The sequence below is a fragment of the Homo sapiens genome, chromosome 1 (genome assembly GCF_000001405.40).
Source record: "Homo sapiens chromosome 1, GRCh38.p14 Primary Assembly".
NCBI classification, from domain to species: Eukaryota; Metazoa; Chordata; class Mammalia; order Primates; family Hominidae; genus Homo; species Homo sapiens.
In genome coordinates, this window is record NC_000001.11 from 52468340 (window position 1) to 52486251 (window position 17912).

A 17912-nucleotide genomic window follows, 5' to 3' on the forward strand; every position below is an offset into this window, starting at 1 on the left:
TTTACCCTAAAAATTTTACTTACAGTTTGTTCATTATTTGTTGACTTCTCTGACTTTAAAACCATAAATGTTACTGGGGAAGGGTCTGGGAGATAGAAGGAAAAAAACTGTTTTTCTGTTTTAGCAACCCAGGGGAAGAAACGAAAATAAATGAAACAGAAAAATAATTTTTAAGATATATGTACATTTCACATGATCATTTTCCGTATATCTACAAACCTATTTACTTCTTCACTCTCCCCCATATCCATGCTTATTTTCCCATTTGTTAAGATCTGTATTCATGTTGCTATACTAGGCATCTGGCCCACTCAAATTTAACAGTTCCCTCAAATGCCTGGTCAAAATTTCTATCTTCCCTATAAACTGTTTTGCCTAACCACAGCCTTCAATGATCTCTCCTTAGTTCCACACTTCTTTAGTTCTTCAAACTGTGTGCCACAGTCTGGTACCTAATTTATTTTGTCCTTTTGGTTTTCTAGTTATTTCATTTATATTCATCTTATTTTTCCAAATAAGTCCATATATTTCTTAAGAACAAAGTCTTTTTTTCCCTATCTCTTCCAGACTTATCCCCAAAAGTTAACACAGTAACAGAAACAAAGCAGTAATTTATTAAGAATTTGTTATAATGAATTAAACTAATATTCAGCTTTTTAAAAACAAATGCAGTTATCAGTGCTTACAGAAGAAGGGGAGTTAAATAAAATTAATGTAATTCGTTAACTTGTTTTAGGGCAGTGAAACTATTCTGTATGACACTCTAATGGTGGATACATGACACAATGCACTTGTCAAAACCCACAGAACTTTGCAGCACAAAGAGTGAGCCTTAATGTATGCAATTTTAAAAAAATCATCTAGGAGGTCAGGGGATCTCAGGATGTAATGTAGACTGTGACAAAATAATCTAACTATATTATAAATGTATGAAACAACTTCACATGAGGGAGTGGGGGGAAAGGTGCTGACCTAAGTAAATTTGAAAATGAGTGGAATCGATAAGACTTAAGGGCAAAAGAAACCATACATAAGCACGGTACTCTAGTTAATAAAGTTGTTTCCCACAGGGGTATTGGTTAACAGTTCTGATACTGCTATACATATGTACTAAAATGGAACAATTTAAAAAATGAATAATAGATGGTGGGAACCAGGTTTCTCACTGTTGGAGTGGGGGCTAAAACGAGCCATGTGGTAATGAGTTCGAGTTGGATATACCATTATGAAATCATGTTTGGTTTAATACAGATAAGATGGCTACATACAGGCTGTGCGCCGTGGCTCACACCTGTAAGCCCAGCACTTTGGGAGGCTGAGGAGGGTGGATCACAAGGTCAGGAGATCAAGACCATCCTGGCTAACACAGTGAAACCCTGTCTCTACTAAAAATACAAAAAATTAGCCGGGCGTGATGGCACGAGCCTGTAGTCCCAGCTACTCGGGAGGCTGAGGCAGGAGAAATGGCTGGAACCCAGGAGGCGGAGCTTGCAGTGAGCTGAGATGGCGCCACTGCACTCCAGCCTGGGCGACAGAGCGAGACTCAGTCTCCAAAAAAAAAAAAAAAAAAAGACGGCTACATATAGAAATCTTTATAGTAAGTTTATATACATAGGTTAGTATATACACACATATTTTGTTGCTCTGAGATGGCCTCAAAGCAGTGACAGCCCAGTAACAGCAAGCACATCTAGTGTTCAGGTCTTGGTTTCTAATCTCATTCTCCAATAAAAGGAACCACAGCTCCTTGGACAAATGCCTAATTCTAGGAGTAGGGCACAAAATATACATGCAGTGCCAGGAGCATCTTGTAGTGCCAGAAAGTATGGAAGTGTTAAAACCCAAACAAACAAAAAAAACCACACACTGATGGATATATATAAAAGGGACCAGGTAGTCAAGTAAAAGAGTTCCCAATGGCCAAAGCTAGAATAATCTGAACAAAAGAAAATTATATTCAATTATAACCCAAGGCATCAAATATCTATGAGCCCACATTGAGGTAAATAAATTACTAAGTAAAAATAAATGTAAATTGTATCTTAATAAAGCTGCTAAAAAACACGTGCCATGACCCAGCCATTCTAAGTATTTAGTCAAGATAAATAAAAGCATATGTCCATACCCAGACCCACCCAGCCAAAATTTTGAAATGAGACAAATATTTATCAACAGGTGAATGGATAAACAAATTGTGGTATAACCATACAATGGAACACTACTCAGATACAAGAAGAAATTAACCACCGATACACAACAACATAAATGAATCTCAAAGTAATTATACTGAGTGAAAAAAGCCAGACAAAAAAAGAATACATTCTGTATAATTCCACTTATACAGAACTCTAGAAAATGCAAACTATCTATAGTGACAAAAGCAGAAAAGTAGTTGCCTGGTGGGAGGCAGAAATGGGGAAGAAGGGAGCGATTACAATGAAGCACTAAATGTTATGACCAGAAATTTTATCTTACCTGGACACTGGAAGTAATTCATAAATGTTTGCTGAGTAAAGGTGACTCCCAGGTACTCTGTAAACGTTTGCTGAATAAAGGCATGCAAGCCGTTCCCCAAAATATGTTTATAGGCTTATCTCTCTCTATTGCCTTTCTTATACCCTACCAAATCAAAGGCAATTATTCCCCCAAACAAATTATGCACTCTATGCTTTTTTTTTTTTTTTTTTTTTTTTTTAAGACGGAGTCTCACTCTGTTGCCCGGGCTGGAGTGCAGTGGCATAATCTTGGCTCACCACAACCTCCACCTCCCAGGTCCAAGCGATTCTCCTGCCTCAGACTCCCGAGTAACTGGGACTACAGGCACCGGCCACCATGCCCAGCTAATTTCTGTATTTTTAGCAGAGACAGGGTTTCACCATGTTGGCCAGGCTGGTCTCGAACTCCTGACCTCATGATCGGCCCACCTCGGCCTCCCAAAATGCTGGGATTACAGGCGTGGGCCACTGCGCCCGGCCACTCTATGCTTTTATGCATAATCTTTGACGTTTAAAAATGCAGCTCAAGGTTCATCTCAAATATCACATCATTAATCCTGATTCCTCTAATCCACCCCAGATAAAATTGTGTTTACACTGCGTTTTGTTTACCACTACTATAGCATGTAACACATTCTATTTCCAATTATGGCAATTTACATAAATGCCATATTAACTCATCTATAGTGTTATCCAAGAACGCTGCAGTGATGAAAATGTTCTCTATCAACAATGCTGTCCAATGCAGCAGCCACTAGCCACATGTAGCTACTGAGTACTTGAGATATGTCTAGTATAAAACTGAAGAACTTGGTTTTTAATTTAATTTTAATTGATTTAAAGTTAAAAGCCACATAGGCTAGAAGCTACCATGTTAGACAGCTCATATCCATATTTTAAGCTCCTTAAAAGCAATATATATGGACTCTCAATTCCCCTTGGCATTTACCATGATGCCCTGCACATAATAGTCATTTAGTAAATATCTGTGCTTGGGTATCTATTCAAAAACCTCTAGCAAAACAAAACGTAAACAAACTGTTTTTAAATCAGAAAATTAATATTTAATATCTAAGAAGGAATCTAGTCCCAATAGTTGTAGTAATGAAAGACTTACCAAAACATCTTTTACATACTAAATCAAGTATTTCCCGAAATCGGTTTGTCATTGGTGGTAGAGGTTTTAAATCAATTTTCCTAAAATCCTCTGGGCAATCATTCTTTGAATGGCCATCCTTTTTGCAGATGCTGCATACTATCGTTGGTGGCTACACAAAGATAAAAAGAAATCTAATCTAATAAACTTTTGAGGGACTTCATCACTTAGGAAGTGAATTCAAAACAAATCTTTTATGTAACTCAGTTTTGATAACCTGTGCTTTCAGGAGGTAATTAAAAAAAAAAACATGTTGTTAAAATGCAGTATTAGCTACAAAAAAGTTTTTTGAGTCAACCACTTTTTCTTCCCCACTAAAATTATATCAAGGATTAAATTAACCTGAAAATGGAAGATACAGAAAATGCCAGGAGATGCAGAAAGTATGAGTTCATTCAAACAGCTCCCAAAGGAAAATATATGCATTTATTTTTAACTTACTGAGATCTAACAAAATAGGTTATAAAGAAATTTTAAGGTGCACCTTTCATTTCACTCCAAACATTTTCTATTTTCTGAATCAATCACAGAACCCTCACTTAGTTGGTTTATTAAATTAATAAATTAATTAAACTAATTTATTATTAAATTATTTAATATTTAATAAATTATTAAACTAATTTACTAAATTAGTTGCTCAAGAGACCAAACTGCAGACTGAACACTAAAAATAAATTAGCTTCATACGAAGAGTAACTTATCCAATAGCCACAAAATGAACTCCAAACCCTATATAACCATTTTAAATGTATTTCAATGGACACCAAACAAGTGGTTAAAACACAAAAATTTATGCCAACTCAAAGAAAGAAACACATATGTTTAAAAAACACCAATACTCTTTTCTTTATTGTAATATGCCTACATCCTAAAGTGTCTTTCTCCAATGTTAGCCTGGACATTTATATAGCCATAAATTCTGATACAAATTATATAAGGAAATCTCTCTTTGTAAGAATGATGCACTGTGGGCTAATTAACAGTACTACAAGAATCTCTATCACCTTTTCAAAGCTTTTTTTAAAAAATGACATATTTAGGCAGGAAACTCTTTAAATAGTAAAAATGAAAACTGGAACAACAGTACTTACCCTAAGTTTCCAGGAAAAAAAGTATAAAGCATAAGACATGTAAACTGAAGTTATATAATTAAGTTTTCTAAAAACCTGCCATTTATTTGATGCTTTCAATAGTGCATGTGCCTTAAATACTGCAACCTAGATAAAATGCAACAGATGTATATTTACATAGAATGAAGAAATACTGCTTATTGGGAGGGGAAAATGGGGAGGTGTTGGTCAAAGGGTACAAAGTTTCATTTGTGCAAAATAAATAAGTTCTGGAGATCTGTACAAAGTAGTTCTGGAGATCTGTACAGATTAATAATACTGTATTATATTCTTAAATTTGCTAATAAGGTACCTCTTAAGTTCTCTAACAACAAAAGGAAAAGAAGAGGAGGGTACTTTTGGAGCTGATGGATGGATAGGTTTGTGGCATTGACAGTGATAATAATATATATACTTAAGTTCAAACACATCCAGTTGTAGACATTAAATATCTATAGCTTTTTAAATGCTAGCCATACCTTAATAAAGCAGATTTTTAAAAAACAGGCAATACTATTTAATAATTAGGTTAAACATCTTAAAGCTTGTCAATAACTACGATAAAACAATAAGCCTGGATAAGGCTAGATGACTTTCCTTTTGTTTTTTTTTAATATTCTACTTGGCTTATGCATGATCTGTATAATCATTTTTTCACATGGATACTAATAATGATATTGCAATTATCTGGAATGCACTTGAAGTACTGTGATTCGGTTAAAACTTTGTTTTATTCACAAAGCAGTTATCGCTTACTTCCTGTTCAATGGGTTTTTTCCTATGATTTTAAATGATTTCCTTTATGAGTTAAAGTTCAGACTATCTGGCCAGGTGCAGTAGCTCACATCTATAATCCCAGCACTTTGGGAGGCCAAAGCAGGCGGATCACTTGAGCTCACAAGTTCGAGACCAGCCTGGGCAACATGGCGAAATCCCATCTCTACAAAAAAATACAAAAATTAGCCAGACATGGTGGCATGCGCCTGTTGTCCCAGCTACTCAGGAGGCTGAGGTGGGAGAATGGCTTGAGCCCGGGAGGCAGAGGTTGCAGTGAGCTGAGATTGCACCACTGCACTTCAGCCTGGGCAACAGAGCCAGACCTTGTCTCAAAATAATAGTAGTAATAAGTTCATACTATCTTACTTGAAAAGAAAAAGTAGAAAAGTTTGGATTCCTGTAATTCATATAGGATAAGCCGAAATCCAGAGGCTCAGTAGCAGAAACAGAATCTGGATTCTTCATTTTTTTGACTATTAATCTTAGTTTCCCTCAACTACCTTTAGTATGCTTATATTTCCCCCCTCTAAAAATATCTTTAAAGTAGAATACTATTAGAATTTACAAACCTTTTATTTTGGGGGGGGAAGAAAAATTTTATGTATAAAAATAAGCTTGAATGTGGCTTTTGTTGGGGAAAAAAATACAAAATAAGCAACATTTAAAATGCATGCTACCTTTGCTAAGATTTTCATGAAATATCAGATGAATCCTTTCATATATGAGAAAGTAAAGGAAACCAACTGGTAATAGAATGCTGAAACCTTTTGAGGCTTTATATACATTATTTAAAGGCAACTATATGAAAAACACAAAAGGTAAAATACATACCAAAATATCATTCCAAAACAAGTCACCACTTTATATAGCTATTTTTACATTTCTAATCTAAAAAATATACATAGTCATACAACAACCACAAAATCTTACAGATCATTTACAAACTGTATCCTACCTTGCCAGAGGTTAAAATAAACTTATCAAACACATAATATAATTCCTGGGTGGGGAGGTTATCATCATCATTAAGGTCAGAAGCATCTTCTGTAGCTTTGCAGTTGCAAGAGGTAGCAGATGTGTCGGTGCACACACTCTGATGTGAACTCTCTGTTTCTAAATTTGACCTGCAGTCTGTTCCAGTAGATTTATCTGGGTCAGGCGACTTAGACAAATCAATGCAATTACATTGGCTGAGCTCTTTTTTTAAACAAGTTTCTGAAGGCGCTAAATCATCTTGTTTCTTATCTAATTTTGGCTCTATTTCACTGCTTTTGCTGGTAGAAAGAGATGAAGAGTCCTGTCCGTGGTCAGCAAAATCTAGTTCATTTACCAACAAATTGTTGTTGTCAATAATACATCTCTGTGATGTACAGTCCATTTCATCACATTGAACAGGTTGCTCTCTTTCTGCATTTATTTTTTCTGTGGTTTCCCCAAGCAGAATACAACCATTGGTTGCCATATTGTTCGACTTGACTGGTTTCTTATTGCTTATTTTCCCCTTCTCTCTTTTCTTGAAATCCACTGTAGACTTATTTCCACCCTTCGTCTGAGGACAGGCAAAATACCGATAAGCTGCCCTAAATCTCTCCACAACATATTCGTAAACCAGCTGGCTGTTTAAGCTCCGTGCAACATTCCTCTTGACTGAAAATGGATCTAGCAAAAGAGAAAATGGTAAATAGCTAAGTCTCTACTAACAAACTACATTTCCAAGCTCATACAAGTAGATCTTAACTGATAAACTGTCAGGAGAATACATTTTCCCAAGGGGTTTTTCTAAGCTAGACTCCCAGTGAAAGTTCCTGAAAATGGGAGGAAATACAATTGCAACATTTTTTTCTTTCTCTCATAAAATAAAAAGCTAAAAGGAAAAATAAACAAGACTAATAATAAGGTCACTAATAATGGGATGGCTGAGAAGGCCAACTAAGTAATTAGTTTCAATGATGAAATTGTGGAAAAAGGAGTTTTTTTTTTTCTTTTGAGATGGAGTCTTGCTCTGTCCCCCAAGCTGGAGTACAGTGCTATGATCTCAGCTCACTGCAACCTCTGCCTCCCAGGTTCAAGCGATTCTCCTGACTCAGCCTCCGGAGTAGCTGGGACTACAGGTACACGCCACCACGCCCAGCTAATTTTTGTATTTTTAGTAGAGATGGAGTTTCACCATGTTGGCCAGGCTGGTCTTGAACTTCTGACCTCAGGTGATCCGCCTGCTTCAGCCTCCCAAAGTGCTGGGATTACAGGCATGAGGCACTGCACCCGGGTCACAGTGTTTTTTAATATAGTTATATGCTCTTTGCAATATAAACAAGTAAAACAAACTTAAAACTCTCAAGGCTTCAACTTGAAAAAAAACTGATTTTAAGATTTAACTTTAGTGAGATTAAAAAGTAAAAGACAGTAGTAGGAAGAAAGAGCAAAAAAGCAAGAAACCTAAAAAAGTAAAAATTAAACCAATATTTAAACTTTGATCCAGTCAAAAATAACTACCCTGTAAAGTCTTGACACAGCTGCATCCTTATTATTAATAACATGACAGATTTCTGAAAATATCTGTAAGCCTTAAATATAGATAACCCCCAGGAAAAAAGAACAGTGCACCAAAAAGACAATACATATGCTCTCCACTACTGAAGATCTTTTGGTATTAACAGGCCAGGCTTCAAACTGTTAAAGTTGGGGCATCTGTTACTTTTTGCTGCTATCTAAATCCACAGGCTTTAAAAAGATTTTTCTACTTTCTTCCTCACTTCCCAAAGAAAATGAAAGAGGGGGGGAAAAGAAAGAAAAAAAAAGAGATAAATTATGGCTGGCAGGCTTCAGAGCTCATTTATTTACTATATATAAGAGTACAAGATGTGTATAAATGTTTGCATGTATATTTCAGAATATTTCTGGGTTGAACTCACAGTAGAGAAGGCCAGCAGGTGTGAGGGAATGGAATAATATGTAGGCTGAACAGACTAAAACGGACATAAATTCAATTTCTTATCTACAAAAGGTAAGTGACATGCTGTGAAATTTAAATTTTTGATTAAGAATTGAGGAGCCACTCTATTGTTTTCTGTATCTCCAAAGATCTTAATGGTCTTGGGATCTGATGTGAAACTTTGTCAACATCAGTTTTTATTTTTCTCCTTTAGCGAAGCCACATTTATTAGGTGAGGTACTTTAAAAGACAATGAAAACTTTCTCATAATCTTATGACACAAATTTATTCAAAAAGATCTTATATTATTCATAACATATTTTTCTGTATTTCTGCAAGTTTGCATAATTAAAAAATAAAATTTTCAACATTTAAAAAATGCTAATTACTGACCTTAACCATATATGGCAGAAATCTTTAAATAAATACTAATTCTATAAAACTATAATAGACTTGACAAAGAATCTAAATAAATAATGAAGGCCATGCACGGTGGCTCATGCCTATAATCCGAGCACTTTGGGAGACCAATGCAGGAGGATCACTTGGGGCCAAGAGTTCCAGACCAGCCTGAGCAACACAGTGAGACCCCCATCTCTACAAAAAATAAAAAAAATTAGCTGGGCATGGTAGCACAAGCCTATAGTCCTAGCTACTCAGGAAGCTGAGGATCCCTTGAACCCATGAGTTTGAGGTTGCAGTAAGCCATGATCCTATCACTGCACTTCTGCCTGGGCAACAGGGCAAGACCCTGTCTCTAAAAAAATTAAAAATAAAGAATGACAATCTAGTGACATATATATATAGTGCCACAAAGCCAAAGGATTATTAACACTGAATTAGATAATGAGTAGCACATAAAAAATATTCTCCAAATGAAATACAACATATCATCTCACCTTCAATGGCTATTCGCCTTTTAGGCCAGTTTTTATTTTCTCTTGTTAAAATATCTTGTATCCGTACACATATGACATATTCCTCCAAAGCAAAATCCAGTGTGTAGAATTTAAGCAGCTCTAACCATAACTGTCCCAAGGATACCCGATTTGGTGTTTCCAATGCTAAAGGAGACTGGAAAAGAAAAAATACTTTTCATTTAAGCTTAACAAAACCATAAAAATCAACAAATTTTCAGTTAGAGAAGACCTTGGAGATCACGTTTTCAAAAACTGAGACATGAAGGAGTAATTTGCCAAAAAGCAGTCAGTTTGAAGCAAAGCTGGGAACAAAGTCCCAGTTTACTGACTCCTAGGAATTCTGCATTCTTTCCACTGAACCAGTGATTCTCAACCTTGGCTGCACATTAGAATCATGTGGAGAGCAGTAAAATACACCAATACCTGAATTCCACACCAACCCCACCTTCTACACCCCTCCCAAGATTCTGATAACTGACTAGGCTATCAGCCTAGGCAATGGTATTTTTAAAGCTCCCTTAAGTAATTTTCATGTGCAGCCAAAGCTGCAAACCACTGCATAACTACTACAACTCGTTTTTCCAATAATTAATTTTAAAATATAAGTAAATGCCCTGGCTTTCAAAAAAACTAATTCCTTCATTCAGCAAACATTTCTTTAGAACCTCCTATGTCCCTGACATTGTTAGGAATATCATAAAATAAAGAAAGCTCACACTTATACATAAGGTTTACCATGTACCATTCACTCTTCTAAAAGCGGCACATATATTAACAATTCTAACTATTCCATGAAGTGGATACTATAGGTCAAGGATTTGACTCAAGACCACCTGGCCACTGGGTCCATGCGGTGAATCCCTATACTATACTGCCACCTAAATAAGGTCCTACTTCATAGACTATTAGGAGGGGAGAGACAATTTAACAATTATAGTAAGGGCTACATGCTAAGATGGGCCTCTAATCAGGGGAATCATAACAGAAGAGGTAACACCTGAATTCCAAAGAATTAGCTAGATGAAACCTGGCTAAAAGTAACCACTAGGCAGCATAAACACAATGAAACAATCATTCTCACATTCCATTTTACAACTATTCATTGAGTGCCTACTTTGTGCAAGGCAGTGTTCCAGGCACTCGGGATACATCTTTGAGGGAAAAAACCCCAAAGATCTTGCCTTCATGGATCTTACTTTCTATGGAAAGACAACAAACATCTTTAGTAAGTAAATTACATAGTAACTTAAAAGATAAGTACTACAGAAAAAAAAAGAGTTGAGTACGCTAAAAAGGATGGGAGTGTGGAAGCAGGAGAAGGTTACAGTGTTCAATAGAGTAGTCAGGATAAGAATTATTGAGAAGGTACGGTTTAAGAAGAGGGAAGGGTGCTACAGGAATGGGAAACAGGGCAAACACACAAAGAATGAGACCAGTTTTAAAAAGCAAACCAAGATAGAGTGAGAGGAAGAGTAGAAGAGGAAAGAAAGCAAAGAGCCAGGAAGGGCTGTTTGGCTTGTTATCTAAATGAAATGAGGAACAACTGAAGCATTTGAGTGTGGCGAGAGGGAAGGGCATGATCTGGCTTAAGTTTTAGAAGAACTGTTCTGATTTTTAAGAACAGACCATAAGAGGAAAGGGTAGACACAGGGAAACCTGTTAGGAGGCTATAGTAGTATCCCAGGCCAGAGATGATGGTGGCTAGGACCAGGAAGGTAACAGTGGAGGTAGTGAGAGGTAATCAAATTCTGGATACATGTTGAAGTAGAGATGACAGGATTTCCTGACAAGACTTGATATAGGGTATGAAAGAGAAGTAAAGGATGACTCCAAGGTTAACCGAAAGGAACATCCTTTCAGTTAATTGAGCAACTGAAAGGATGCAGTGCAAACAATTAAGATGAAAAAACTAAGTGTGGAGCAAGTTTGAGGGGAGGATCAGGAATTCAGTTTAGACACATTAAGTTTAAGACATCTATTAGACGGCCGGGCGCGGAGGCTCACGCCTGTAATCCCAGCACTTTGGGAGGCTGAGGCGGGTGGATCACGAGATCAGGAGATTGAGACCATCCTGGCTAACACGGTGAAACCCCATCTCTACTAAAAATACAAAAAATTAGCCGGGCATGGTGGCCGGGCACCTGTAGTCCCAGCTACTTGGGAGGCTGAGGCAGGAGAATGGTGTGAACCTGGGAGGCAGAGGTTTCAGTGAACTGAGATCGTGCCACTGCACTCCAGCCTGGGCGACAGAGCGAGACTCCGTCTCAGGAAAAAAAAAAAAAAAAAAAAAAGACTATTAGATATCTAAGTAGAGACAATAAATGGGCAGTTGGTTATACAATTATGGTGGTCAGGAGAGAGGTCTGGCTGGAGATTTGAATTTGAGAGTGATCATCATACAGACAGTACTTAAAATCCACAGGATTAGATGGGATTACCAAGGGAATGTACATACACAAGAAAAAAGGGATCGTGAACTACAGCACTTCAACTTTAAGAGATTACAGAGGAAAAAAGAAACCAGCAAAGGAAACTGAGAAGGAATAACCAGACACGGGTCTGGTGTCCTGAAAGTCAAGTGAATAAAATTTTCAGAGAGGGAAGTAATTAACTGGCAAGTGTTGCTAATAAATCAAAAACAACAGAAACTGAGAAATGACCACGGGATTTAGTAATGTGGAGGTTACTGACATTGATGATACAAGTTTTGGCAAACTGATGGGGTGACATCAAAGCCTGATTAGTGTGAGTTAAGGGGAAACAGAGAAATCAAAAATAGTAAATACAGACATTTCTTTAAGAAGTTTCGCTGCAAAAGGGAGCAAAGGAATAGCTGGGAGGGGAAGTGATGTCAGATTTTTCTTACAGTGGGAGAAGTAAGAGCATGTTTGATTTTGTAGGGAATGAAAAATTGGCAATTTATGAGGGAATAATTGCTAGAGTGATATTCTGGAAAAGACAAGAAAGGATGAGACTGAATACGCAAGTGAAGAAAATGACTTTAGATAAGAACATGGCAAGTTCCCAGTGAAGTAATAAGCAAGCATTGGCTGAGAGTATTAGTGGTTTGAGGAGAGAGTATACAGTAGTACAGGAAAGTGGAAGAGTTGAATACAATAGTCAAGTATATCAGGAAACTACAAATAATTCAATATAGCTAGAGCAATGATTTCAGAAATGTTCAGATTTCTGTAATAATGCATCTGTCCATTTAGAAGACTACAAGCTTCTGAAGGACATAATCCATGTACCTTTGGTTCTCTAGCACTCAAGATAATGCCTGGCACATAGCAGGTCCTTAAAAATGAATGCTGAATGATCAAATAAGCAAAGCTACCCTCTCTTAGAGCACAGGGGCTTTATTTCTCCACCCAATTGGCAACAAAATTCCCATATGCTGAAGTCTGGTCAGAGCCCAACTCTTAAAGGAAATTTTCCTTGTCTAGATGAAAAATGACAGATTTATCTTGACATGATTCAAACAACACAAGTTTTCCAAAATAAGGCATAAATTCATTAGAGAATCTTGGTACTGAAAAACTAAACCAGATCAACCCCTCACTTTATAGATGAGGAAAATGAGGCCAAGAGGCTTGCTCAAGGTCAGTCAATCTACAATTAAAATAGCTTCAATCGAAGAATATCACAAATTCTACAGATAGAAAAGCCAAAAAACAAAAACAAAAAGGCTTACTTTGCCATGTTTTTCCTTCATGGCATTACTTTGGTTGTCTGTTTCTGTCTTCTTGGTATCATCTTTTGGTTGGTCTGCCTTAGCTTTGTTTTCCTCAGCAATTGAGTTTTTCTCAGTTGCACTACTTGAATTACATTCCCACTTCACAAACTTCTCTTCTACTATGCCCTTCAGCTGAAAGTCATCCATTCTTTTTGGGTCAAAGCCTTCAATCTATATAAAAAGGCATTCCAAATTGGTAGTGGAAAAATTATTTAAAAAAAAAAAAAAAGATGGACAAACAGACAAACCAGAATTCCAGCTTAAAATGTTTGAGCAGAGTTCTCTGCAAGAGCAAACTATATATATATATGCATATATATGTCACAAATTCATGCTTACCCAACTTCCAAGTAAGCAAGGAAGAAGAGGGGGTTTTCTCTGTTGTAGAAAAAACATCACCATTAAAGCAAAACAGTAAGAAGGGATTCCACCATCAGTTTGGGAGTCAATATAGCACAACTGCAAAATGAAGGGGAAAAAAGTACTACCATTTAGCTTTCTTAATTTTCATGATAAAAGTAGCTTGCTTTTTCCTACCCTAATCATTGTAAAAAGTTCAAATGACAATGAAAAATATAAGGAATAACTTGAAATATCATCACTCTAAAATAACCATTAAAATGTTGATGATCATTTTTTTCATTCTTTTTAAAATTCATACAAAGATACATATTTTTGTTAAAAGGAATAATATTACATGTAGTTATTTTACTGTGGACACATTTTAAAAATATTTTTTCATCTTGCCTCTACTTCTACTTCAATTAACAACCTTCTATGTCTTCTTCTAGGCCTTTTTCTATACTCATATACAAATACACATACATTTCTATTTCCTATATAGGTATAGGGAGAAGTTTAAGTTTTTCAACATTATTTTACCAAAATAGTATATTATAGACATCTCTCTGTATATTACTCTTCTCCCTTAACAATATATCAAGAAAGTCCCTTTAAGTCAGTTAGCAAGATCTAACACGTTATTTTATTTTTGAGACAGGGTCTTGCTCTGTAGCCCAGGGTGAAGTGCAGTGGCATGATCATGACTCACTGCAGGCTCAACCTCCCAGCCTCAAGTGATCCTTCCACATAGCTGGGACTACAGGCATGCACCACCATGCTCAGCTAATTTTTTTTATTTTGTAGACTATTTGTAGACAAATTTTACTTACGTTGCCCAGGCTGGTCTCGAACCCTTGGGCTCAAAAGATCTCCCCGCTCGGCCTCCCAAAGTTCTGGGTATTTATAGGCATGAGCCACCATGCCCAGCCAACACATTCTTTTAAATGCTTAAATTATAGTCTATGATATGGATGGTTACGTAACAGTTCCCCCATTCAAGAACATTCACATTTTGTTCCCAGTTTTTGCCACTTCAAATAATGCTGTAATGTTCATCCTTATACATGTTTCCTAAGTATTGGTGCTTATTTCTATGAGCTGTATGCCTAGGAATGTTTGTTAAATTAAAAAATGAGTGATATATTTTAATCTTAAAATATATTGTTAAGAATCGTTTTTCCAAAATCACTACAAAAATTCGTATTTTCCACTAGGAACCCAGGTGTGTTCACCCCTTCGAACACTAGGTATTATCCTGTGCATACACCCCTTCAAACACTAGGTATTATCACTTAAAAAATAATTTTCAATAATTTTCAATGGGATGGGTGAAATGTAGTATCTGATGGTTACTTTAATTTGCATGTCCTTGACCCTAAAGAGATTATGAAATTTGTGTATGTTTACTAACCATTTGGGATTTATTCTTTTCTAAATTGCCTATTAAATATTTTGCCAGTTTTTCTATTTTCATCCAATACATCAATTTATAAGAGTTTTAATTATAGATAATAACCCTTTACGTCTGATATATGCATTTGAAAGATGTTATTTTTCCCAATCTACTATTTTTCTTTTGATATTATTTATATCTTACCATATAAAATTTTTTATTTTCACTATGCTTTAGTTTAAATATGCTTATTTCAGACACTCAGCCCTCCATATCAATGGGTTCTGCATCTGCACATTCAATCAACTGCACACTGAAAATATTTTTTAGGCCGGGCACACTGGCTCATGCAAGTAATCCCAGCACTTTGGGAGGCAGAGTGGGTGGATGACTTAAGGTCAGGAGTTCGAGACCAGCCTGGCCAACATAGTGAAACCCTGTCTCTACTAAAAATACAAAAATTAGCCAGGCACAGTGGCAGGCACCTTTAATCTCAGCTACTCGGGAGGCTGAGACAGGAGAATCACTTGAACCCAGGAGGTAGAGGTTGCAGTGAGCTGAGATTGCGCCACTACACTCCAGCCTGGGCAACACCCCATCAAAAAATTTATATATACATTTTCTTCATTAAGTAAAATTATTTATTTATTTATTGCAAGGTGTGGTGATGGACACATATCACCTGCAGCTGATGTAGTCCCAGCTAGCTACTCAAGAGGCAGAGGCAGAAGTCCAGGAGTTTGAGTCCAGCCCAGACAACATAGCAAGACCTCCGTCTCTAAAAATATATATAATTGAAAAATTTGTTAAACGCCAGGTGCAAAGGCCTTGCCTCTTGAAAAAGCAAAACAAAACAAAACAAAAATATGCCAGGCACAGTGGCACACACCAGTAGTCCTAGCTACTCAGGAAGCTGAGGTGGGAGGATCCCTTGAGCCCAGGAGTTCAAGGTTACAGTGAGCTATGATGGCACCACTGCACTCTGGCCTGGGCAACAGAGTGAGACTCTGTCTCTGAAAAAAATTAAAATGTTAAATTTTAAAAACTAAAAATAGCAATATAATAAAAAATACAAATTAAAAAATACAGTACAACTATTTACAGAGCATTTATACTGTATTAGATGTTATAAGTAATCTAGTGATGACTTAAAGTATGTTAGAGTCTATGTGAAGGTTAGATACAAATAACACACAGTTTGTATAAGGGACTTGAGCGTCCTCAAATTTTGGTATCCTTGGGGGTCTTGGAACCAATCCCCCTACCACTGGATACTGAGGACAACTATACACCTTCTAGGTATCCTATCATAGTAAAAGATCTCCCCATCCCATTATTTACATATACATACTCCTACATTTTTCTTCTAAAATTTTAAATTTTCATTTAAGTAAAATTTATTTTTGCATTTAGCATGCTGAGTCCAACATTATTTTCTTCCAGTAAGATACAGTTGTGAAAGCACTATTTAATAAAATCTGTACACTAGATCATCTGAGCATTCTATTCTGTTCCACAGATCTATTTTTCTATTTCTATGCCAATAGCATACTCTTGATTAAAGCAGTTTTACAGCCTTCCTTTTTGCTCCTCCTGAGTTCATTCCCACCTTGGAAGCTTTGGACTAACTGTGCCTTGGAGAGTTTTCCATCAGATTTTCATGTGGCTAGCTATTACCCGTCTGAGCTTAAATATCATCTCTTCAGAGTCTTTTCCTGACCATTCAGAGTAATGTCATTCATTCTATCATTTCATTTTTGTAGCACTAAGCTCTAGCAGATATTATTATTTATGTATTTCTTTACTGTTTGACTCTTCCAGAAGTATGTGAGCACCATGAAAGCAGGACTCTGTATGTCCTGTTAGATGTTCCCAGCCTCTAGAACAGTGTCTGACACACAGAAGGCATTTAACGAATGTTTGCTGAATGCATGGATTTGTTCAGATTTTGCTTTCATCTTTCAATAATATAATTTCTTCTTATATCTTTGTTATTAAATCTCTTCCTTAGTGTTTTATAATTTATGTTGCTGTCATAAAGGTACACATTTTTCCCCATTTCCATTCTAACAGGCTATTTTTATGGCAGAGAATGGCCATTCACTTTTGTATATTTATCTTGTATTTAGTTATCTTACTAAATTCTCTTATTAATCCTAGTAGTTTTTTACTAGGGTTTTCTAGGTGTACAATCATATCATTCGCACAAAGAGATAATTTTATACTTTTCCCAATATTTACATTCAATTATTTCATTTTCTTATTGCATTTCCTAAAATCCCAAAACAATGTACAACATCAATGGTGAACTTCTCTGCAATATTCTTTATCTTAACATATATGGCTTAAATGATGTTTCTTATTGTTTTGCCTTTGTTTTTTGTGTGTTTTTAATAAATGGTTTTCATCATAAACTTCCATTTCTAGCTGACTTAAAAGTTTCTGTTAGGGAGAACATGCCCTTTCAGCATCTAGGATTTTTTTTTCTGCTTCATGTGTTAATATAATAAATTATGTGAACAGACTTCCTGATATTAAACCATTCTTATAATCTTGAAGTAAATCATGCAAGATCATGGCATATTAACCTTTGATACATGGATATATTTCATTTGCTTATATTTCATTTAGATTGTAGCATCTATATACGATTGGTCTATACTGGATTGGTTGGATTCATTTTTAAATCATTGTTTTCTTCTGTAGACAATGAAGATTTAGGATAATAATAATAATATAGAGTAATTATACCGTAGCATAATATCTTGGTACATTTAAGATTGCAACTCAAAATAAAAGACAACTAAAAACACTTGTCAAAAAAGAATTTGAAACATTCCACTAGAATAAACTCTCACTTATCCAAAATATTAAGACAAGGGTAAACTGCCTAATGAATAAGTCAACTTAACCAAAAATTCCTTTGCAACTATAAAGAACTGTCAATATATTCTGCTAACATTACCAGACATCTCACAGATAAACAAGATTAAAGCAGTTTAAGAGAGAGCTCTTAAAACCCAGATATCTCTTTCAGATGACAAATAGTGCT

At 36.0% G+C, this 17912-nt stretch overlaps 1 protein-coding gene across 51 annotated transcripts in view, besides 2 other annotated features; it reads right to left on the reverse strand.

The window, feature by feature from the left end:
* TUT4 (terminal uridylyl transferase 4) overlaps nucleotides 1-17912 on the reverse strand; it is a 130189-nt gene that overhangs the window by 45065 nt on the left and 67212 nt on the right. For 21 of the 51 annotated variants that reach the window (XM_047416324.1, XM_047416327.1, XM_005270678.3 and 18 more), the window contains 5 exons: nucleotides 13465-13584; nucleotides 13084-13296; nucleotides 9369-9543; nucleotides 6493-7196; nucleotides 3613-3763 (listed from right to left, as the gene is read on the reverse strand). In XM_047416324.1, the coding sequence (XP_047272280.1) occupies nucleotides 3613-3763; nucleotides 6493-7196; nucleotides 9369-9543; nucleotides 13084-13296; nucleotides 13465-13584 (1363 nt within the window). Of the gene's footprint in view, nucleotides 1-3612; nucleotides 3764-6492; nucleotides 7197-9368; nucleotides 9544-10503; nucleotides 11676-13083; nucleotides 13297-13464; nucleotides 13585-17912 lie in introns of those variants that run through there. The other 30 variants (XM_047416394.1, XM_047416388.1, XM_047416411.1 and 27 more) reach the window with 5 other exon arrangements.
* Nucleotides 6624-6824: a silencer, noted in NCBI's record as "peak227 fragment used in MPRA reporter construct". NCBI's record gives its function as "represses an SCP1 promoter by STARR-seq MPRAs in K562 erythroleukemia cells {active_cell/tissue: K562}" and the evidence as "EXISTENCE:reporter gene assay evidence [ECO:0000049][PMID:32103011]".
* Nucleotides 10824-11024: a silencer, noted in NCBI's record as "peak228 fragment used in MPRA reporter construct". NCBI's record gives its function as "represses an SCP1 promoter by STARR-seq MPRAs in K562 erythroleukemia cells {active_cell/tissue: K562}" and the evidence as "EXISTENCE:reporter gene assay evidence [ECO:0000049][PMID:32103011]".